Source organism: Homo sapiens, chromosome 18 (assembly GCF_000001405.40).
Source record: "Homo sapiens chromosome 18, GRCh38.p14 Primary Assembly".
Classification (NCBI taxonomy): Eukaryota; Metazoa; Chordata; class Mammalia; order Primates; family Hominidae; genus Homo; species Homo sapiens.
In genome coordinates this window covers 63,149,948-63,172,187 of record NC_000018.10, presented here as the reverse complement: position 1 = coordinate 63,172,187, position 22,240 = coordinate 63,149,948, and the positions used below count along the sequence as shown (strand labels likewise).

General features: G+C 45.3%; 1 protein-coding gene across 2 annotated transcripts in view, besides 10 other annotated features; it reads left to right on the top strand.

Annotated features, from left to right (window-relative positions):
• BCL2 (BCL2 apoptosis regulator) overlaps positions 1-22,240 on the top strand; it is a 196,745-nt gene that overhangs the window by 147,903 nt on the left and 26,602 nt on the right. The gene's annotated exons all lie outside the window — the stretch shown is intronic.
• Positions 9,958-10,007: an enhancer, noted in NCBI's record as "active region_13460". NCBI's record gives its function as "activates an Ori minimal core promoter by ATAC-STARR-seq in GM12878 lymphoblastoid cells {active_cell/tissue: GM12878}" and the evidence as "EXISTENCE:reporter gene assay evidence [ECO:0000049][PMID:35858748]".
• Positions 10,208-10,497: an enhancer, noted in NCBI's record as "active region_13459". NCBI's record gives its function as "activates an Ori minimal core promoter by ATAC-STARR-seq in GM12878 lymphoblastoid cells {active_cell/tissue: GM12878}" and the evidence as "EXISTENCE:reporter gene assay evidence [ECO:0000049][PMID:35858748]".
• Positions 10,588-10,827: an enhancer, noted in NCBI's record as "active region_13458". NCBI's record gives its function as "activates an Ori minimal core promoter by ATAC-STARR-seq in GM12878 lymphoblastoid cells {active_cell/tissue: GM12878}" and the evidence as "EXISTENCE:reporter gene assay evidence [ECO:0000049][PMID:35858748]".
• Positions 11,238-11,357: an enhancer, noted in NCBI's record as "active region_13457". NCBI's record gives its function as "activates an Ori minimal core promoter by ATAC-STARR-seq in GM12878 lymphoblastoid cells {active_cell/tissue: GM12878}" and the evidence as "EXISTENCE:reporter gene assay evidence [ECO:0000049][PMID:35858748]".
• Positions 13,073-13,172: an enhancer, noted in NCBI's record as "active region_13456". NCBI's record gives its function as "activates an Ori minimal core promoter by ATAC-STARR-seq in GM12878 lymphoblastoid cells {active_cell/tissue: GM12878}" and the evidence as "EXISTENCE:reporter gene assay evidence [ECO:0000049][PMID:35858748]".
• Positions 13,183-13,232: an enhancer, noted in NCBI's record as "active region_13455". NCBI's record gives its function as "activates an Ori minimal core promoter by ATAC-STARR-seq in GM12878 lymphoblastoid cells {active_cell/tissue: GM12878}" and the evidence as "EXISTENCE:reporter gene assay evidence [ECO:0000049][PMID:35858748]".
• Positions 13,423-13,472: an enhancer, noted in NCBI's record as "active region_13454". NCBI's record gives its function as "activates an Ori minimal core promoter by ATAC-STARR-seq in GM12878 lymphoblastoid cells {active_cell/tissue: GM12878}" and the evidence as "EXISTENCE:reporter gene assay evidence [ECO:0000049][PMID:35858748]".
• Positions 14,213-14,262: an enhancer, noted in NCBI's record as "active region_13453". NCBI's record gives its function as "activates an Ori minimal core promoter by ATAC-STARR-seq in GM12878 lymphoblastoid cells {active_cell/tissue: GM12878}" and the evidence as "EXISTENCE:reporter gene assay evidence [ECO:0000049][PMID:35858748]".
• Positions 16,954-17,103: an enhancer, noted in NCBI's record as "active region_13452". NCBI's record gives its function as "activates an Ori minimal core promoter by ATAC-STARR-seq in GM12878 lymphoblastoid cells {active_cell/tissue: GM12878}" and the evidence as "EXISTENCE:reporter gene assay evidence [ECO:0000049][PMID:35858748]".
• Positions 20,985-21,154: an enhancer, noted in NCBI's record as "active region_13451". NCBI's record gives its function as "activates an Ori minimal core promoter by ATAC-STARR-seq in GM12878 lymphoblastoid cells {active_cell/tissue: GM12878}" and the evidence as "EXISTENCE:reporter gene assay evidence [ECO:0000049][PMID:35858748]".

Sequence of the window (22,240 nt, the reverse complement as noted above, 5' to 3'; positions counted from 1 at the left end):
TGTTCATTCACTGTGTTTTTAAACTATTAATACATAAGACCATGCTAAGCTCAACATGCTCTGAATCATGGGAGTCAGAATCATCCTGTGCCTTATAGGTATTAGCCCAATTACAGGTCAGAGTTGAAATCTAACTCTGATATATAACAAATGTATTTGATATTCTATCTAATTTGTGTATATATTTATGTATGTATCTATTTATTAGAGATGGGGTCTCGCTTTGTCACCCAGGCTGGAGTGCAGTGGTGTGATCATAGCTCACTGCAGCCTCAAACCCCTGGACTCAAGCAATCCTTCTGCCTGGGCCTCATGAGTATGTGGGACTACAGGCCTGTGCCACCACTCCCAGATAATTTTTTTCTTTTAATTTTTTGTAGAGACAAGGTCTTGCTCTGTCACCTAGGCTAGTCTCAAACTTCAAGGCTCAAGGAATCCTCCAGCTTTGGCCTCCCAAGTGCTGGGATCACAGGCATGAGCTATGTGCCTGGCCATATTTATTATTTTTATCTCTTACAGCTTGAAGCATATTTACCATATATGGACTAGCTTTCTTTCAAAGTTTCATTTTACCTGTGGCATCATATAGCTGTTTTGTGAGTGCACTTAACTAGACTCTATTATAACTAGATGTTATCAATCAGTTGGTTATTGTCAGTAACATCCCTTCTCATTTCATGATTATAAGTGCTTTGCCCTTGCAAGCCTTCTGAATGCTCCTGGGCCACCAGTTGCTAAGCATTTTCTTTACATGTTATCTGAGTTTATCAGGATCTCCTAACCTCCCTCACTCCAGCAGTGAATCAGGCTCATTCACACCGTGCTAGTGGAATTGCAGGGTAGACACACTATGAGATATATCAGCAGGCTATTTAAATCCTTTCATTTCCTAAAAGGTTAAAAGGCCAGATCTTAGAAATTAAGGTGTTGGTTTTTGTTTTTTTTCTTAAATCCATTAACCTGGCACAGGGACTGATACTTGAAAATTACACTAGTAAACTCTGGCCATTGTCAAATGATGGACACGTATCACACATGGCTTATGAATACTTAGGCAAAGCATGGTTTTTAGACATTTTAAAAGTTCACTTTGAATTCAGAATAGAGGAAAACATTATAACAGTAAGAAAATCTCATAAAAGCTGAATTTATATATTTTACTAGCATTATTTCAAAAATAAATCGTTCCTTTTCTAATCTGCTCAAAAAAGTCTATTTACTAAGAATACCTAAGAAAACATTGGCGTCTACCTGATTCTAAGTTTTTGGAAGAAGACACTCGATTGGTGTAACTCTCTATCAGTGTCCAGCCAACTGTTGACAGTCACCCATGTGCGACCTGTAGCTTGTGAGCCCAGTGACCGTCCATGACAAGCCTGATTAATTTCATACCTGCTTTGCACATTATCGTTTGTACTTGTGTTTCCTTATGTGCAAAATAGAAGTACGACTGAATGAAAGTTTTAAAGAGTGCAGATGGCCCCATGATTTGAAGTCTTGAGCACATATAAAGGGCAGACACAAGGAAAATTTGCAGAAGGATAATGAAATGGGAGAAGAACTCCAAAGTGGGACCCAATTTACTGGTCATATACCGAATGTGACTTGCATCTCACAGTGTTAGTGGAGGACTTTCTCTGACCTGGGGTTGGGTCTTTTCCGCATAAACACCAAAGATGGAAGAAAGGAAGCAAAATGTAATGTAGCTGAGCTTTGGATGGATTAAGTCAAGGTCATATAAAACAGTTCCAAGCAAAAGTGGGGCCCAGGTGTCCATATTACGAGTTGCTAACATTGAACACTGACTATGCACAAGGCACCATTCCAAGCTCATTGCTATATTATTGTAGCCCATTGAAAACCCAAGTTTCTAGATGCTGCCTTGTCTGCTTGGTGTTGCTTAGTTCAATGAGTTATTCATTCATTAGTATGAGAGCTCACACTTACCATGTGCCCGTCACTGTTTTAAGCATGTCGTATATAGTAACATATTTTATACTCCCAAGAACCTAATGAGGTATGCACTATCATTAGCCCCATTTTATAGATGAAAAAAACTGAGGCACAGAGGCATTTAGCAGCTTGCGCAAGGTCATGCAGTGGTAAGTGACTGAGCCAGGTTTAAAGCCATGTGTGTGCTGTTAGTCACCAAGTTAGGCTTCCTTCCACATACTGATCACTGATTACGGTCATAATATGGCTATTGATGACATGAGTTTGCTTGTTACAGTTGCAAGGAAAACATTGAAAAATGTGTAAAAGAACATTAAAGGATCATCTCTATTCTTCTCAAGAGATAAGAATTTTAAATAGCATTAGAATTACTTTGATGACGGCCACCGGCATCTACCCCTTAAAGAAAACGCGCTGGGCACGGTGGCTCACACCTGTAATCCCAGCACTTTGGGAGGCCGAGGCGGGTGGATCATGAGGTCAAGAGATCAAGACCAGCCTGGCCAACATGGTGAAACCCCCTTCTCTACTAAAAATACAAAAATTAGCTGGGCATGGTGTCACACACACTGTAGTCCCAGCTACTCGGGTGACTAGAGCAGGAGAATTGCTTGAACCCAGGAGGTGGAGGTTGCAGTGAGCCAAGATCATGCCACTGCACTCCAGCCTGGGTGACAGAGCGAGACTCCATTGAAAAGGAAGGAAGAAAAAAAAGAGAAGAGAAGAGAAAAGAAAGAGAGGAGGGAGGGAGGGAGGGAGGGAGACAGGGAGGGAGAGAGAGGGAGAAAGGAAAGAAAGAAAAAGAAAGAGAGAGAGAGAGAGAGAAAGAAAAAGAAAGAAAGAAAAAGAAAGAAAGAAAGAAAGAGAAAGAAAGAAAGAAAGAAAGAAAGAAAGAAAGGAAGGAAAGGAAAGAAGGAAGGAAGGAAGAAAGAAAGAAAGAAAGAAAGAAAGAAAGAAAGAAAGAAAGAAAGAAAGAAAGAAAGAAAAACACGAAGGGGAAAAACTATTCTGTCTGCATTTAACTTAGAAAACAAGGGCCTGTTGTTTCTGACCGCCCAAAAGAAGCCCTCCATGGAATCGATTAGGAAATAAGTGTCACCAGGGATGATCAGGTGCCTGCCTGTGCCTGTAGTGCTGGGAAGCCCATGTTAGATTCTCAGAATCAAGGCTGGAGATACTTCAGGAGAGTCAGCCAGAGGCTGGGAATTTTGCCTGTTTATTCAATGCTGTTAGGCCAATAAGCAGCTTTCATCAAATACAGTTAAGACCCCAAGATAAAGACAGATGACCGCTGAGCGTGTTCAATCCTGAGGACTTGGGTTGTTGCTAGTTAGTTGTTGAGAATGGCTCCCCACTTTGGATTCCAATAGGGAAAGTGCAATGTTTCTAGATCCCACCCTCAGGTCACCTTTTCTCTTCCTACAACATGCAGACCGCCTAAAAAGCCCTGGCATTCCAGGAGGACTTTATACTTCACAGAAGATGAGGGAATCTTTGGAAATTTAGGCGACAGAGGCCAGACATACCAATAAACGGAGCAGTCCACATTTCCCCCCAGTTGGAAACAGATCAGAAGCTTTAGGCATTGGAAAATGCTAGCCACATAGCATTCTGAGTTTGAGCATCTCGTGGATGTCTGGCTGTGGACGTCAGCTATGGATGACGATAAGCCTCCTGTGACTCTCCATGCAGAGTCATCAGTCCGTGTTAGAACTGCAGCCAGCAAAGAATGACCTCAGAGACTATGGATGTGCATCCTCCAGGGCCTCAGTCCCCACCTCAACATTTGGCCTGGGCGATCAGTTCCAGTGTTGACAGGTGGCAGCTGCTGGTGGTCCAAGGGGACTTAGGACATTTTTAATTGTTTTGTAGACATGGAGGTCTTGCTATGTTGCCCAGGCTGGTCTCAAGCTCATGGGCTCAAGTGATCCTCCTGCCCATGAGCCATCACACCTGACCCCAGTCCTGTTTTTAAATGTGCCCAGGGAAGGAATTCTAAACCTCCTTTGTCAGACTTCACTTTGGCAAAATGATCCTTGGTACATTGGCAATGGATGGAACAAGGAGGCATGGGCACTCTTGACACATTCTCCAATAGGCCCCTCTGCCTTTAGGCAGAACCACCTGCCCATTCCAGCCAGATGGCAACAATCATGTTGTTGTTGTTGTTTAGAGAAAGGGCCCCACTCTCTTGTCCAGCCTGGAGTGCAGTGGCATGATCATAGGTCACTGCAGCCACAAACTCCCGGGCTCAAGTGATCCTCCTGCCTCAGTCCTGCTAATTCCTTTATTTATTTTTTTTTTTTTTTGAGACGGAGTCTCACTCTGTCACCCAGGCTGGAGTGCAGTGGTGTGATCTCTGCTCACTGCAACCTCTGCCTCCCGGGTTTAAATGATTCTCCTACCTCAGCCTCCTGAGTAGGTGGGACCACAGGCATGCACCATCACACCCAGCTAATTTTTGTATTTTTAGTAGAGACAGGGTTTCACCATGTTGGCCAGGATAGTCTTGATCTCTTGACCTTATGATCCACCCGCCTTGGCCTCCCCATATGCTGGGATTACAGACAGGAGCCACCACGCCCAGCCAACATCCGGCTAATTCTTAATTTTTTTTGTAGAGATGGAGGTCTTGCTATGTTGCCCAGGCTGGTTTCAAACTCTTAGGCTCAAGTGATCCTCCTGCCTCGGCCTCCCAAAGCACTAGGATGATAGTCATGAGCCATCACACCTGGCCCCAGTCCTATTTTATTTTTAAATGTGCCCAAAGAAGGAATTCTAAATCTCCTTTGTCAGCCTTCACTTTAGCAAAATGATCCTTGGTAGCTAGGCTTTTCCTATAGCAAGAAGAGAAATCTGACTTAGAGAGAAAAGTTATGTATTTAAAATGTCCTAGAAGGCTAGATGGATGGATGATGGATGTTGGATGGAGAGAAAGAGAAAAAGAAGTAGATAAATGAATAGATGATATTCATGATAGATGAATAGATAGATGAAAGAGAAAGGGAGGTAGATAGATGAATGAAGGAAGGCGAGAAAGACAGGAAATAGGTGACTGTAAGAGACAGCCAACCCCCTAGCAATGAGACATATTTATTATAGAATTATACACCAAAGGAGGCCTCTTAAAACCCATTCAAAACAGAAGCCACCTTCCTTCGTGCTCCCATCACCTTTCCCACATCCCTCTACTCCAGCACCTTCTCATGTTGCAACATTAGAATTTGTTAGCTGTTGGTCTCCCTGGCTGGAGCATGCGACCATAAAGCAGGGATTACATCTCATTCTGCCGTGTAGTCTCAGCATCTAGCCCAGTGCCTAGCACCTGGTCAGTGCTCCATGGAAGGAAAGACAAAAGGAAAGAAGGAGGGGAGGGAAGTACATCAGTCAACCAATATGATAAAGAAACCTGTATAAGACGATAGTGTCCCTTGTCAGGAATGCATCATTTCTAATGCTGCAATCATTAATGTTTTACTAACCAAACTTAACCTATGTGATACCTCATATCCCGTCGGTAAGCTGTCATACTCCAAGTCAATACAGTGATAGCATCTGCCCAGTGTTGGAGGGGTGTGTTAATGCTCACTCCTGTTTAACACTGTTCTAAGGGACACCAGTTCATTATTATACTGTTTGTCTCCTAAATAATTTCCAAAAAATGTATTTCACCAGGGTTCCCTGTTAATATGTATACGTTTTCCATGATCTGATCATGATATCGTATGGGCTTGGCCAGTGAGAGCTGGCGCAGTCAACTGCAGGGTGTCCTCCCAGCCAGTGACAGTGTGGCTTCTGCAGGTACCTCGTTCCCCAGTCAGGATATGCGTGCTGTCCAGGGTCCAGGGACGCCGTCCCTGCCCCGTCCAGGGTCCTGGAGCTGGCTTGACTCCTCGCCTTACATCCCCCAGTCCAAATCCTCTCGTCTTCCAAGGCCCATTCCAAGGTTGGCCAAGTTTCTCCTCCTCCACAGCGGATCCTTCTCCCCACTCTGGGAGCTGCCTTGTCTTTCTCCTTAGCACTTCCTGGTGTCACATTTCTTCCTGCCAACCACCTCTCTCTGGGGCATGGGACTGGGCAGTCTATAAAGCCGTGAGTGCCCCCCAAGCCCACAGTCCCCCTCCGAGGAAGCCAGCCAGCAGCTGGTCCTCATACTGAGGGCCAGGCTTTGTGTCCTGTGGGTCTGCAACCCTGGCCATAACCAGTATTGGATGAAGGACCCTTGTTTAACAAAATGACAGTGGACTTGCTTCAAGGCAGACGGCACAGCTTTAAAGCGATCCAGCAAACGAACTCTGCCCATTTGGGGCATGTGATTTTTGACAATGACTGTCTGGCTCAATTAGACCCAACCTGGGAGTGAACTCTGTTTTCAACATTGTCATATAGCTTGTTTGTTATTCGGACATCCCCTCGGGCTTAGATTCCACCCCCCTCCCCTGCAAGCCTTCTCTAGATCCTAAGGTCCTTGAGGACAGAGTCTTGCTCAATCTCTTTTTGTCTCCCGCCAGTGTCTGGGCCCTTTGCATCCCTTTGTAAATGTTTGTTGCACAGGTGACTGTAAAACACCTAGGCCCGAGGCCTTCACCCCCAAGGAGTCAGTTTCTCCACGGCTCCTTTTCCGGTTGTGTAGCCATTTAGCCTGAGAGAGGTTTGGGATAGGAGAGGTCTCTCCAGGATTCCTGATGAGTGTGGATGAGCCTGCTGAGCAGGGTATGGAAGCAGAAGCAGCCATTGGCCAGGGATGTGGTTGGAGGGATAAACACAGAAGATGCCTGCGGCTCCCCAAGCCAGGGAGGTCTGCAGCTAGGGGCCTGGAAGATGGAGACAAGGCAGTCAGAGAACAATGAAGACAGAGCCAGAGCCATGAAAAGTGACAGCAGCAAACCCAGAGAGAGGGACAGAGACCAACAGAGTCACACCCAATGAGGTTCATCCAAACCAAGACACTTCCCTCCATGGTTGTCAGCCCTGAGCTCCTGTTTCCTCCCTTGGGTTGTAAATTCCTCCTGAGCAGTGGTTGTGTTTATTCATCTTGGTATCCTTAGAGCCTTGCAGGGCACCACATGGGGGCTGGCACATGGTAGGCGCCCAATAATAATTTTGAACCTGAATTGAATTAATAAAAATATTCTTCTATTTTTATTTATTTATTTATTTATTATTATACTTTAAGTTTTAGGGTACATGTGCACAATGTGCAGGTTAGTTACATATGTATACATGTGCCATGCTGGTGCGCTGCACCAACTAACTCGTCATCTAGCATTCACATTTTCTTAATCCAGTCTATCATTGTTGGACATTTGGGTTGGTTCCAAGTCTTTGCTATTGTGAAAAATATTCTTCTATTAATTGACTTGAGGATTTCACAGTCTCTCTTGAAAATCTATCTACAGGGCTACCAAGGTTTCCATTACCTTGAACGCTGACGTTCACGCCTTAAATCTAACTGTGCTTTCTTGCCATGGCTTAAGTTCATTTCTCCTCCAGTGGTTTCAAATGCATGGAATGATTTTTCAGCCATTCAGGAAGAAGGAATGCTGTGTATAAAGCCTGGATTCAATAAAGCCAGATTTTTGAAAAACAGCTCTTTAGCATCTTCTACTACAGACACTGGTCTGGGCAGGGCTTTTTATTTTATTGAATCCAGCTGAAGAGCTTGACTACATTAATAATGGGCTTCATTTCCAACCACTGCCTCCCAGTCTTTCCCCCTAAAAGCCTCATGGTACTTAAGCAACTGCTAATACAGGAATAATTGTCAGTGGCATCACTTCCTGCCGTGATTTGACCACCAGGATGAGGTTTTCTTCTTGTACCTAATCTGGAGTTCTCAGGCATACCATGTCTGGGGCTGCCAGATCATATTTAAAATTTGTAAGCAAATCTAATGGCAGCTGTGATTTGAGTTGTATTGAGTTTATGTTGAGAAAGTAGGATTTGGGAAGATTCTCTTGGGTATGTAGTAATATTTTTCTGGAGCAAGCCTACCTAAAGATTGCCCAGAGGTTCAAATCTCTTATTTCTACAGAGCATGGAAGGGTGGTACCATATCACAGGGTCCTGAGGGCGGACTGGAAGATTTTACTCCATTCATTTCAAAGAAAACTCTATTTGTTCAGCTCCCATACCACCACCATACTTCTTTCTGAAGCTTCCCTGGAAGATGACATCTCACCATCAGTTTTCTTTACACTGGACTTGACTCATGATGGATTTAGTACACATAACTGTAACATGGTATCCATACAGAAGATAAGCTCCTCTTTGCTTCAATGAAAAAGGCCATATAAAAGCACACACCTATTAACAGGAATATAGCACAGCCACTAAGAGCACAGACTCTGAAGAGTCTGATTGCCAGATTGCCAGAGTTTGAGTCTAGCTTAGCCACTATGTGACTTTGGACAACTTCCCTCCAATACTTTGATCTCCTCATGTGTGAAGTGGGGAATATAATAGTGCCTACTTTTTAAAGTCACTATGAAGTTTAAGATGAATGGATATTTGTTAAGTGCTTAGATCAGTGCTTGTACACAGTGCTATATAAATGACTATTGTTGTGTGTTTTTTTTCATTTTACTGAATATCCAATACATTATTCCTCTCCACATAACTTCCTACTAGGATAAAAAGTAAAGTTTCTCTTTCAGGCAACATGCAATCAAATTTAACAGCTGGCCAAAAGTTTAGTAAGACCTTGCTTATTACACCTTTTTGGCAATATTAAAATAATATTTGTTTCAATCTAAAGGTTGCTTCATCTGCTGTTATAGGGCTAGGCACTGTGGGGCCAATAGGAGTGAAATATGTGATACCCCTCCCAAAAGAACTTGCAATCAAACAATATTGGAAAATATAAGAAGTGATATATTAGGTAGCAAAACAAAACTGAAGAGCAGATGTGATGAACTATTGGAGAAGTTTAGGAGATGTAGACATTAGTGACAGCTTGAATGGTCAGGTGAGGAAGGTAAGGAGATTTTCAGGTGGGATGAGCTGAGCTGGAAGAATGGGTTAAGATTTGGGTGATGAAGGTAAGAGTGCTCCCAGAAGGTAAAGATACAGACAGTGGTAAGGAAGGGTGGCCAGCCATGGTGACTCACACCTGTAATCCCAGCACTTTGGGAGGCCGAGGTGGACCAATGACTTGAACCGAGGAGTTCAAGACCAACCTTGGCAACATAGCCAGACCCCATCTCTACAAAAACTAGCCAGACATAGTGGCACATGCCTATAGTCCCAGCTACTCAGGAGGTTGAGGCAAGAGGATCACTTGATCCTGGGAATTCAAGGCTGCAGTGAGCTATAATTGCGACTGCACTCCAGCCTGAGTGACAGAGCAAAAGTTTCTCAATTTAAAGGAAGGAAGGAGGGAAGGAAGGAGGGATGGAAAGAAGGAAGGAAGGAGGGAAGGAAAGAAGGAAGGAGGGCAGAGTTTGGGGGTTTGGGAGGGTGAAGGCATGGAAATGAAGGCTCTGGTGTCTTCCTTGGAGGAGCAGTGAGGATGCTGCCCTAGTGGTAGCCAAGGATTAATTGTGCCAAGAGCATAGATGGTGCTAGAAAATCAGGCGACAGTAGCTGGATTATGAAGGTCTTCACAAAGCAGGCAAATGAGTTCAGATTTGGTTTAATAGAAAATAGGAAGTGAGAAAGAGGTAAGAAACACGATCTAGAATGCTGGCCAGCTGTGTCACCCGCGTGCCTGCCTGCACCAGTAGTGTCCCCGAGCTGGGCCTGACACCATTCTTTGGTGATGGTGGAATAAAGGCAAGTTGAAGAAATAAAAACATGTTCATATATGTGAGTTCCCAAGACAAACCACAGCAGATCCCAGGAATGTGTTTCTGATTGAGCAATGAAGACGTGTTGGTGGGGTTTTGGTTGGGGTGGGTGTGGGTGTCATCTCTGTTTCATGAGGTCTAAATTTCTACTGGCTCAGAAAAAGAACTTTGAGCAGTTTTTTGTTTATATGGGTCATCATCGTCTTCAATTTTTGTGGAGTTTTCTCAGAGCTTCTTGATGGTCTGCTAATACTAAAATAAATATATTAGGCCTTTTGCCTGTCTCTTCTTTTCTGTCACTGGGTGATGGCCTTTGTTTCCTCTAATGGACACATTCCAGATTTGAGTGCGGAGCGGGCAGTCCCTGGCTGCTCATGTCTGACATCGTTCCCTCCCTGTGTAGCAAAGGGAAATCAACAGCACGTGGGAGGGGGAATCTGTGTTCTAAGAACTGCTTTGGTTTACACATCTATAGATAACACTCAACCAGCACTGCAGGTCACATGGACCGGCTGGTGAGGCTGAGGATGAGTCACTTTTAAATTACTCATAGAGAAAGAAATATGTTTCTGAAAGCCAGAGTGGTTGGCTTACACATGGAGGTAAGAGAGAAAGCAGGCAGCTTCATAAAGCACTCAGACCTCCTGTGACAGCTGACGTGGTGTGTAGTGCGTCAGGTGGGAAGACGGGGCCCTGCGTCCTCAGCAATGTATTTGGAGGTGAGGCTTTTTGTTGATGGGAACCCCTGTGCTGGGACTTGGGGGTATTTAGGATACATTTCCATCTAGCTAGACTTTCTCTTACAGTCCCACTTTGTAAATGGCCCTAGGACCCTTGATTAACTTTCAGTAACACAGTCTAGTGGTGAACACCAAGCCATCTGAGGCTGAAATATGGAGAAGTATGTCAGTCCAACAGAAGGTCAGATGGGGAGGGGCGAGGGAGCTTTCAGAAAGTCTTGGAGTACAAGGGCCTCAGCTGAGCCTCGAAGGTCTTCATTCGTTGCAAAGAAGAAGGAATTCTGTCCCAAGCGAGATGGAAAGATCATCTGAGCAAAAAGAAAGCATCAGTGACAGAGGCTGCAACTTCATTTCACTGGCTGAGTCTAAATTTTTTTCACAGGAAAAAATATACAGAAGACAAGAGAACAATCACCAAGGAAGCCCAAGGCACTGCTTACTAAATTGGTCCAAGGGGGGGATTTCACCAAATGCAAATGAACAAAGAACAATACATGTGACTCAAAATATCCGTTATGCTCTTAATACTTACGAGAGGGTGTGAGGCAGGGAGGTGACCTTTTCAAGGGTTGAAAGCTGTCAACTTTTCAACCACATTGTTTTCATTGCTGGGAGATTGAAGACAGGATCACCTCAGGGTACCATTTTGGAAAAGTGATTTAAAAAAAATTAAAAACTCCTTCCTGCATAATGTTTTGGGACATTTTGAATTGTTTTTGCCGTGAAGACATAGAATTCAGGTGTCCAGGAAATACTGCAACCTTTTATGAGAAATGAATACCCAGAAGTCTAGAGCTGCCTGGCACTCACTCTGGCAGGTCTTCCACCTCTGGTCCCTCTCCAGCAGAAGGGCTAGTGAGCAGTTTAGGACCCCTGGAGCAGGGGTACCCTTACCCCCACCCCAAAGGAAGCGATGTGGCTTTTTTCTCGCAGCCCCGCCCCCATCCCTTTGACAGGTCACTAGAACAACAGAGTGCCCAAGTGGAGACAGGGAGGAATGTGATGGTTGGAGGGACCTAAAAATAACCATTTTTCCCTCATCCTGAATGTGCTACCCTGGGCCAGACATTCCCTGAAGGGCTCCTCTGAAATCTGGGAAACAGGAAATGCTAAGAAAATCTCTAATTTGCCTGGTCATGTGAACTCCTCTCGGTGTTGAAACAGAATTTTGGAAGAGGGGACTCTGCACTGTGGTTGAGCCCTCCTAATCAGAGAACATTTGCCCCTATGAGAATATGGTGGATGTGACTATTCAGCCTCAACTTCCCTCTTTCTAAACATGTAAACTCTGATGCCTAAAGAACAAAACCAGAAAAGAAACCCACTCGGTCTTAGTTGCGTATCTGAGTGCCGACAGGGCGGCTGAGAGGGGCCCACGTGCCTGTCGCTAAAAAGCCCCTTTGGCATTTCATAACAGGACCCAATCCCGCAGACTTGTCTGTGCAGGCTCACGCACCATCTTCAAAACCTTTACTACCTGTATTTGTAGTAGATGATTAATGATTAGGCTTTCTTCCCACACATTTGGCTTTGATAATCTCCACTCAAAAATATTCAGATGCAAATAATTTAAAAACAAAGTGGCTCCAAGGGCTCTTTCTGGGAGGATGGAAATGCTGCATATCTTGATAGGGGAGTGAGTTAAAGGGATGTATGCCTTTGTCAATATTCATAAAACTGTACACATGATATATTCATTTTGTTGTATGTAAATGATACTGAGAATGAAAACTCTTAAGATAATAAAGTGGGTTGAGTTTGGAAACCAGAAAAAGTGGACACGATGTAAATGACCCCGCTGAAAACGATTCGAGTTGGCCAGCAGAAACTAAGAAATGCGTACGCGTGGGCAGTCCCCACTGTGCGGGGAAATCTTTGCAAGGTGAGCAGATTCAGCTCAGCTCATAGAAACTCCAGCTGATTCTGCACATTCATCTGTGTTTTTGTAGGTGTTTTTGGTGTCTTTGTGTCCATTTCTGTTTGGCTCATTTCCCTACTCAATTGGATTTTGACTTCTATTTCCTGAATACAACACCCCCGCAATACCTAATATCCCAGGCCTGTGAAAAGTGAATGCCTAATAAATGTCCACTCACTCACTGAGATGGACTGCTTCTCCTGTCTCTGTTACATTCTATCAAAATTAGCCAGTGCATTTGGCCCTAAATGCATTTGTAAAAATGGAAAGTAAAAGGAGAAACATTCATACTTGTACTAGTTTTGAGAAAATTCCCAGTTATCTCTGCTTCTAAAAGAAATCCGTTTCAGAACTTTTACTTGGGAAAAATTGCTTTTGCCTAACAGGAAAAATAAAACATAGACTCCAGACGCAGTGATGTTCGTGTGAAATTAAGAAAACAGAGTTAATGTTGATGTCTTAGTGGAGGCGAAGGTACGCTTCCTTTCTCTCTTTTTCCCCCTTTTCAAGGCAAATCAGAAGACCGGGTGTGGAAATTCCTGCAGGTTTGCTCTGTGTCGGTTTGCACGTTTGTAGATGGAGTTTCATGCTTTTTCTCACTAGTCAGTCTTTTTGTCATCATCTCATCTTGAAACTAGAGAGGAAGGGAATGGAAGGGCAAATTGCTAATATCAGAGACCTCTGGAAATTCCCCTTTTATGGTACATGAGTATTTAAGAACAGTTCTCTTTCAGTTGTGTTTTTGTGATTTTGGTGACACTCAGTGGGCCCAGCCCTGCCTCTAGTCAGACTCCAGTGTCCTTCAGCAGCTCTCTAGGGCATGGGCTGGAGGCAGTGGGATGGGGGGTTAACGTGAATTGCACTGCTTTGGAAAAACAGCCCAAGAGAGATCCTTTTTTTAAAGTAGATAACCTGAGCATAAATCTATACTCACATGATTTTTAAAAATTAACTTATCTAGCATCTTTTATAAACTGATAAATCTCTCATGAATTAATGACTCACCAGTGCCTAAATGGTGGGCAGACAGGCGGCGCTATAAATTTCTCTTGGCATTTTGTGTGTCATTATATATGATAAGTTCCAGTAATGGCCTGGCTTCATTGAAGGTTATTTTAAAGGAAGAAGCTTTTTATCCCACATGGTTTCAGGCAATACCTTATTGAAGATGACTTAGACCTTGGATTCTGGGGTTGGAACAGGCTTGTGTCCACTGCCTAAACAGGGCCAGCACAGCTTCGTGGGGGGCCTCTGGAGGAAGGGGCCCCAGGAAGGAGTCAGGTCTTTCTGCTCACTGGCTGTCAGGCTGCCTGGGGGTCTCGGAGGGTCCAGAGCAACTGATGGCTGGTGTGGAGGAGAGCGTGTGACAGCCAGTCCCAAGGCCAGGCTATGAGAGACTATGCTAATTAGTGAAGTCCCTGGTAGGGCCAGGTCACTCGGCCACCAGGTAAAAAGTACCAGGTTATTTCTGCCTTGGCAGAAGGAGAAGGTGCATGAATATTACTCATTAATACGCCTCAAGGAACCACTAGGTTAGACAACAAAATACCTTCTGCATCCACTCCCCTATTACTTCCTCACTCCCCAAACATCCTTTCAGTCTGCTCCTCCAGCTTGAGAAACCAGGAGGGTCTTCCTACCGAGTGGTGCCTCCCGAGCCTCTGGGGTACAGCTTGTGACCCTCCTCAATCAAATGAATCCCAGGGTTCCAGGCCAGGTGAGTATAGATGGACTTGGAGCTTTTCTTATGAAATGTCTTGAGCTGAGTTTCTTTTTCCTGCTACGCCGAACTCTGTATATGTTTGTTTTTGTTCTAATTTTGGCTTCAGAAAAAAAAAAGAAGAAAAGAAAAGAAAAAGAATGTTTGGGTACAGTGTAAAAGTTTTCTCAGATCCAGATTGGAAACTCCCTCATCACTCTGAAACCGGACAGGTGCTGAGCGGTATTTGTTTCTCTGTCAATAAACAGCACGTACTTGGCCTAGACATAAACTCCTGCGGGAGCAGTGGTGCACATGGGCCTATTTCAGTGTTTGGGAAGGACTGAAGGGCCCTGAATTAGGAGGAAGGTCTGCTTCTCACCCCTTCTCTTTTGATCTTCTGATAGAGACCACATAGTGTTCTCTTCATGGTATTTTGATGGCATATGGCGTATAAACACAGGTGTGACCTTTACACAGTGCACTGCGTTACAATTATAATAAGTGAGAGGAGATAAAGCCAGCTGGAGTTTAAGGTTAACGCTGAAAACAGCGAACGCTAATTTTCACTGAAAACAATGTCACAGAGCAAGGCGTAGGTGCCCCTTTTCAACTGCCGCGTGCATGGTTCTATGAACAGCCCCAGGTGAAGGGTTTCCATGAAATAAGCCACCTCCTGGGGTACAGAAATACTTAGTGATGCATCCTCTGAGGATCCCCTTTGGGACCACCCTCCTGGGCGGCATATCCCAAATCCTTGTTTGGATGGGAAGGGAGCATTAGGTAACTTCACTTGGAACAAGGTACCATGATTATGTCTGGTCCTGTTTTCCGTGCTGACAGGCAGTTCACCTCTCCGGGACTCAGTGTCCTTGATTTTAAAATAAGGGACTTTGACCATATTCCTTCAGTTTCTTGCCTTCTGGTTTTTTACACAAGAGGCTCAGCCCAGAAGCCTAACCCCAGATGCATACTTAATTCCTCGGGAAAACAAAATATTTGTCAGACCCACAATTAACTTAATTGTTTATTTGTGCAAAGGCTTTCTTGTTTAGTTCCAGGACTTGCTGTTGAAATTTGAAAAAGGGTGGCCCCAGATTCATGTTCACATGAGTAGCTGCGGTAGCTACTCACCAGCTAGCTCCTGGGAGAGAAAATGGAGAAGAAAGCGAGGGAAGAAAACGGAGGGCAAATTCTCCAAGGTTTACTCCTCCACCAGAGAGACGCCTCCTGGGCAAGCGTTTCTACCTGGATCCCTGGCTGCCCAGGAAATTGGGGAATGAGGGCTTTGGGTGTGGAGTCCCCTTGGCCATTATGAAGTCCATGGGGTTGCAGTTACTGAGCAGAGTTAGAGGCATTCCTGCACCCCCACCCCCAACCCACAACGTCTGGACTTGGGAGGAGATTCCTTGGCTTCTGAAAGAAGCTTCTGTTTCTGTTTACGTAAACATCAGGTGGACGGGGGAGGTGGACGCCAGGGTGGGACGTTCTTGCAGTGCTCAGATGAGGGTGAGACTGGAGGGGCCAGTACAGGTGTTGGGCATTTGGGTAGCACCTAACAATAATCTAAGGCAGTGGTTCTCCATGGGGATGACTTTGCCTTCCAGGGGACATTTGGCACGGCCTGGAGACATTTCGGGTTTTCACACTAGACAAGGGTTTCCGCTGGCATGTCGTGGGCAGAGGCCAGAGAAGCTGCTAAACATCCTCCAGTGCACAGGGCAGCCCGTCCTCCCCACAACAAAGAATTACCTGACCCAGAATGTCAATTGATCTAAGTTCTAAAGCCTACTAATAGTTTGTAAGTTGAAAGCACTAGATTGACACAAACGGGAAAAGTTATTTGCAGTTTATTTTCCTGAGGGACAATGGGCTGCCACTCCCTTCCATGCTATTGCTGGGCAAGACTCTATGTTGGCTCTTGCTTTCTTCTCCTCTTTGAACACCCCCCTCCCCTGCCAGCCCGTCTGATGCCGTCCAAGCCTTTTTTTTTTTTTTTTTTTGGCTTCTCAGCAAGCCTCATGAATATTAACTGGGACACTCAGGGCTAAAATGATCTCTGGTCTTACTTGAGAAATGCCCTCAAGCAAGAAAAAGAACAAGAGTCCCAAGAACACCAAGTGCCCCTCACCTTGGTCACACCAATGGCCCACACTGGCTGGGGAGGCGGGGAAGGGTCCTGGGAGAGGGAGGATGGGCCTCTAACCTCCAAGGAGAACATGAGTGAGGGCCCCAGGAAGGGAGAGGGTGCGACAAGCACTCTGGAGAAAGAAAGGAGAGGGTTCAAGGTGACCCTGAGCTCGGGGCAAGATCTGCAGGGCCTGCAATTGGCAGAGTGCCTGGCATCTGGCCAAGCAGCCCTCCCTCTCTCTTCCCCGCTCCACCACCTGCTCCTGGTCGCTGCATTGCCGGTTCCTCCCAGCCTCTTCTCACCTGCTCGCTCTAACGTCCGTCTCAGCCAACAGCCCTACTCTTCCCTCCCAAGCCAACAGGGGGAAGCAGAGAGCAGCAGAACAGCCTAAAGGCAACAACGGCAGTCTCTTTACCGCGCCCACCCTGCACTCCTGGGCCCCTGTGGCCTCCACCCCAGCAGCTGGACCCTCCGAGACCCTCCTTTTCCCACCAAGCTCACCCCCACTAAGGGCCCTCCCCACGCAATGCACAGCACATTCCACGCCCACCCGACATCAATCACGTCCTGTCTCGTGACTCATCCGATACTGTTGACTTGCTGTACAGTTTCTCACCTTTGCAAATGAGATTTGTCGCCTCCTCAAGTTGACTGTCCCTGGAGGCCAGGAGACGTGCTGTGGCCCTGCTGTCCCGAGCCTTTCTCAGAGTCTCATGTTCAGCTCAGTTCTGTTGATTGGGGACAAAGGACACTGCCATTTGCCACCTCTGCCCGCCCTGTGCCGACCTCCACCAGACGTTTGGCATCATGAGCCCGTGTCGTTCTCACCCCAGCCTTTGTGGTTGATGTTGTAGCGTCCTCTTATTCTTATAGATGAATAAGTTGAGGCTCAGAGATGTTAGATATCTTGGGTAAGGTGAAGCTGTGACGACTTGAGAACATAACTGAACGTTCTAGGCTCCTTACCCCACACGGTGTTGCCATTCCAGTCCCAGAAGGTCCTGAGGTTCTTTTGAGATGTGTAATGAATCCATCTTCCTTGAGCATAACACAATCTTTATGGACCTGTTTAAATAGTTTTAATTTCCATGTGTTTACTCATTCATTCTGCAAACATGCACACAGCTTTTACAAGGTGCCAGGCACTATCAGAACCTGGGAAAACCAAGATGAAGAAAATGTAGCCAGTGCCCCCAAGGAGGAGAGAGACAGGTGGCAGTGAGTTCACTGGTGAGCCTTGAGGGGGCAGAATAAGAAAAGGGCATGATGGGGAGGTGGGGGCTTGGTCAAGAAAGGCTTCACAGAGGAGGTGGTATTTGAGCTGAGTGTGGAGAGGTGTGCAAAAGGCAGAGTGGCATCCCAGCCTGAGGATGCATGTGAGCCAGGATCTGTAGAGGAACGAGGCTGCAGCTGATGCTGCCAGTAATCACATGGAGTTCAAGGCAAGCAGTGGGTGTGGGGAGAGGGGAGTCTGGAAGCGTGGGTCAGGGCCAGCTCGCCCTGTGGATAACAGGAGCCACTCAGGGCATTTGGATAAGAGAGAGGGACGCAACTGCTTTGTGGGTCTAGCAGACACCCTGGGAATACTCCAGAGGGAAGCTGAATGGGGCAAGATGAGGGAAGATCGGTTGGGAGCTTCTTGCCACTGTCTAGGTAAGCCATGCAGTGGGGTGAACAGAAGTGGCTTCTGTAAGACCAGAAAGAGGAGACATCCTAAGAGACTTCTGTAAGGTGGAGATGACAGTGATGGTGTGTCCATAGGAAAAGAAGAGGGAGGAGTTGAGGATCACCCCGGTTTTTCTGCTAGGATATAGGCTGAGGGCTGTCAAGGGGGCTGATTAGACCCTTAGAGGCAGATTTTGGGAAGGTGTAATCAGTTCCCTTTGTGCTGTGTTGGGTTTGATGTACCTGATGGATATGCAGATCTGTTTGGTCGCAAACTAGGGTTTGAGGTTCAAAAGAGATTCAAGAGTCATGAGCCTAAAGGCTTCACAATAGGGTTATAGCTTAATCCTTTCTGTACTATGAAGACTTCATGAATGTCCCAAAATCCACATTCAGGCCTGCCCTTCCCAGAGTCATCATTGTCTTCTAGAAGCCTAGTTTGTCCCATTTCAGCTGCCCTCCTCTGGACTCACCACTGGCTTTTTGGAGTGGCCAGGTCTGTGTAGAGAATTCTGAATGGACCATTCCAGGTGGGGACCTCATGGCTTAGTACAAGGTCCGATGTTCTTGCTGTTGGGTAGGAAATCCTGCCTTGATGAGTCTCAGGATTTGGCTGGCCGCTCTGCCCTGACGATTTCAAGAAATCACTTCTGCTAACTCCAGAACTCTACTTCCAGGCCCCTAGCTGATAATATACAGGTATTGAGCTTCATTTGAATTTTTTCTTTAAGAACTTACCTTGACTAAAGATGTTAGAAAATAAGATCCTAAAATTAAAAATTACGGACTCTGCAAAAAGAGCTTAACTGGCTTCAAAAGTTTCACACAACTCCTTTCATATATGCATTTTCTGTAAGCTACTTGTAAATAAAGAAGGTACCTAGGAAAGGAAAATTGCCATCTCTGACAGTTCAATGCAAAAATGAGAGAGGAATGAGAGGGAGTCATGACTGAATTTTAGTGCCTTTGCTGCCAGGCACTTCACAGAAGTCATTTCATCCTCCTGACCACTCGACAACTACAGCCTTTTATTTTTCTCTGTTTTATGAATTCATAAATTTAGGCTCAGGGAGGTTAAATAACTCATCTAACATGAGTTAGATTTAAGCATTGCAGAGAACGAGAGGAGAACTGATAACTCATTCAACTCATTGACGAATCTAGTAATTTGCAGAGTTGAGGTTCAAGCACAGATCTGTCTGACTCTAATGTGTGTGCTCTTTCCTCTCCAATGCTACTAGCATGGGTGAGCTGTGAGCATTCTGGAGAGGGTGAAAAGTGGGAGGCAGAGGCAAAAGCTGAGTCAAATAGTTTTCTCAGATGAGAGAGAGTGGGCAGGCAGTGGATATTCGTGCAAGCAAGTTGGACGCCGTCAGAAATCTGAGCTGAAGTTATGTGGGTATACTCACGTCTTGTAGTCTCCGCTGAAGGACCCATTATCAAATAGGTGGAAAATACAAAAATTGAAGATATGGTGAAGCATTATCACCTGATCAACCCAGCATCCTGCTCTCATAGGTGGTGTACAATTTCACCCAGCCCAAGTCATTATGTCTTCCAGGAGAAAAGGAGGCTCTAGTAGGCACTGAGGACAAGCACATGATAAGCTATTGTTTTGCCTCCTGGGAATACTTGGTTGGCCCTTTATTTTTTAGTAGCAAGAAGATTTAGGAGTAGCACTCTGTATGTATGTTGATTGTTTGGCTTTGTACACAAATGTTAGAAAATTAAAGAATAGATTTGGTCATTGTCATGTCTGTTTGCCCTCACCAGACTTGACTTAGATATGGTTCTTTAAAGTCTCAGGCATTTTAGAATAACTTTGGGGAAGGTATTTACGAATTAATTTTTAAAAAAACTCTTTCATTTTAGAATTTTCTTAAAAGAGATATGTTTTTAAAATTTCAAATACCTAGAATTGGGCAAACGAGGTGTTGCCAAGTAGAGGCTCTGCTGAGCAAATAATGACCACATCAAAACACCAGCCCCAAGGAAGCAGGCTCCGATTCTGCTCCCAGAGCAGCACATTGGTGTGGTGTCAAATGCATGTTTCTAAAGAACTCAAACATTGTTTTCTCTTAGTTAGATAAACAAACTCCTTGATGTCTATTTATGACTAGTTGTTAGTGAGTCTCTTGGAAGTCATACAAAGCAGTGAGAACAAGAAGGTGTTTTGCAGGTTGGCTTTGAGTAAAGACCCTCTGTTTTGATCAGGGTCTTGGATGCCCTGCTCAATCCCCTACTCGAAGTTCTGAGGGCATTTCTCTGATTGTCCTCCAAAACTGTCCTGCCAACTGCTATAGATTAAATAGGTAAGGAGCAGCTACTAAGTTTCCTTCTTCCCTCCCATGAAGGAGCCCGGCCATGAGATTTAGCCAATGAGCCCATTTAACTCTCTGTTTTCTAGCTCATTTATCCAAGGGTTCAGTGCACCACTGGAAACCTTCATATAACAGAAAGCCAGTGTTTGGGGGGCATTTGGTTTCAACTTGCTTGTGTTTGAGCATTTATATTTATAATAGTGCTAATCTCTAAGGGACTCACATCGCATTAAGAGCTTTATCTTAGGCTGCCACGGAAACTAGCATGTACCAACATGACTGAGAACTATGAGAAATTGGGCTGGGCCTACAGAAAATTAATAAGCTCCGATTTTCATTTAAATTATCTTTTCCATGAGATTTTGTTTTGAAACCCACAAAGTCGGGCCAAGCCATTAGCATTCCCTATGCACACATTTATCCTCCCCCTGTAGCCTATGCTGTCCCCTCCCCTCGCCCCCAGCCCCTCATCTGTTATCGCCCCCCATCTATTATCGCCCCCCTTGCCTGAGTGAACTCGCCCTTCTCTGAACCGTCATGGCCACCCCTTCTGCCACCAGGACATTCTTGCTTGTATTGCTTGCTCCTGACCTCATAGAAGGAAAGGAGTAGTTGCATTTTTCTCTTGAATCCACCCCAGGGTTTTGATCATGCCAGTCATGTTACAGATGCCCAGTAATTTCTGCTGGGTTAGATGTTAGTCAGTTGCAGGGTAGATTGGTGTTAGGGGAGGTAGCCCGGCCATAGGCAAAAAAGTAGCTTAGGGTCACCGCAGTCAGTGTGGAGAAGGGAATTTTGGGGGGAAATCTGGACAGACGAATTTGACCAATCTATGAGGCTAATTATAGAAAAAAACACAAGAAGGGGGAAAATTTCTTTCAGTAATTAGAGAGATGACAGAGAAGCAGGGAATGCCCCTGATTGCATTATAGAAGAGGAGATCAAGATGACTTCAGAAGTCATTTGCTGAAGGTACAAAGAGAGCTCAAGGTGAAAGGAGTCCCATTTTCCTTCTTGGTGGAGGCGCAGCTTAGTAACCTTTGAGGAGTGTTGCCTGTCTTGCTAGGAAAAATATGACAGGAGTAGCCCAGTGGAGGTTGGAGACCTAATACCCCTTCTCACCCCCAAACCTGATAACTCATTCTTAAGCATCAAATCTTATGTTATAGTCCAATATTTCTGGACATTTTTCTGCCACAAGGTCTCCAGAATGTGTTAGCTTAGCTTCAGCCTTATAGGAATTCATATTTAAATCGACTTCTTTTTTCCTACCTGGAGACTGCTGGAATATCAGACTAAAACAGCTCACGGGAAGGCTGAGCAGAGTCTAATTCTAGAACTTGTGGCATGTTCATGGGACACGGAAAATACATAGAAGTGATGGTTTCACAGAGAAAGGGAAAAGTCACTCCAGAGAAAACTGGAGGGAGCCAAGAAAATGCGGAGAGAAAGTGGGGAATGGCAACCTCAGACGCAGAGGGAAAGAAAAACAAGAGAAGACGTACGTTAGCAATAAAAGAAAAAAAACCATCACAATGCCCGTTGGGCAGGAAAGTGATTTTTCTGCTTTTCTTTCAGCCCTCCTGGGCCCACAGTATTGAAGATAGGAGCAGAGTGCATTCACTGGTGTCCACTCTTCAGCTGGGTGTTGCTGAAGAAGAGAGAAACCTTAGCCATCTTGCCACCAGGTCACTCTCTTTCTTTCGTTTTCAGGCTGACCCAAGCAAAATAGGGGAAAATTGCATCTGGACAAAGGAAACTTCTCTTTCTGTACCTAAAAGCCTCATGTCAGGCTGGGCGCGGTGGCTCACGCCTGTAATCCCAGCACTATGGGAGGCTGAGTCAGGAGGATCACTTGAGGTCAGGAGTTTCAGGCCAGCCTGGCCAACATGGTGAAACCCCAATTCTACAAAAAAACTACAAAAATTAGCCAGGCATGGCGGTGGGTGCCTGTAATCCCAGCCATTCGGGAAGACTGAGGCAGGAGAATTGCTTGAACCTGGGAGGCAGAGGCTGCAGTGAGCCG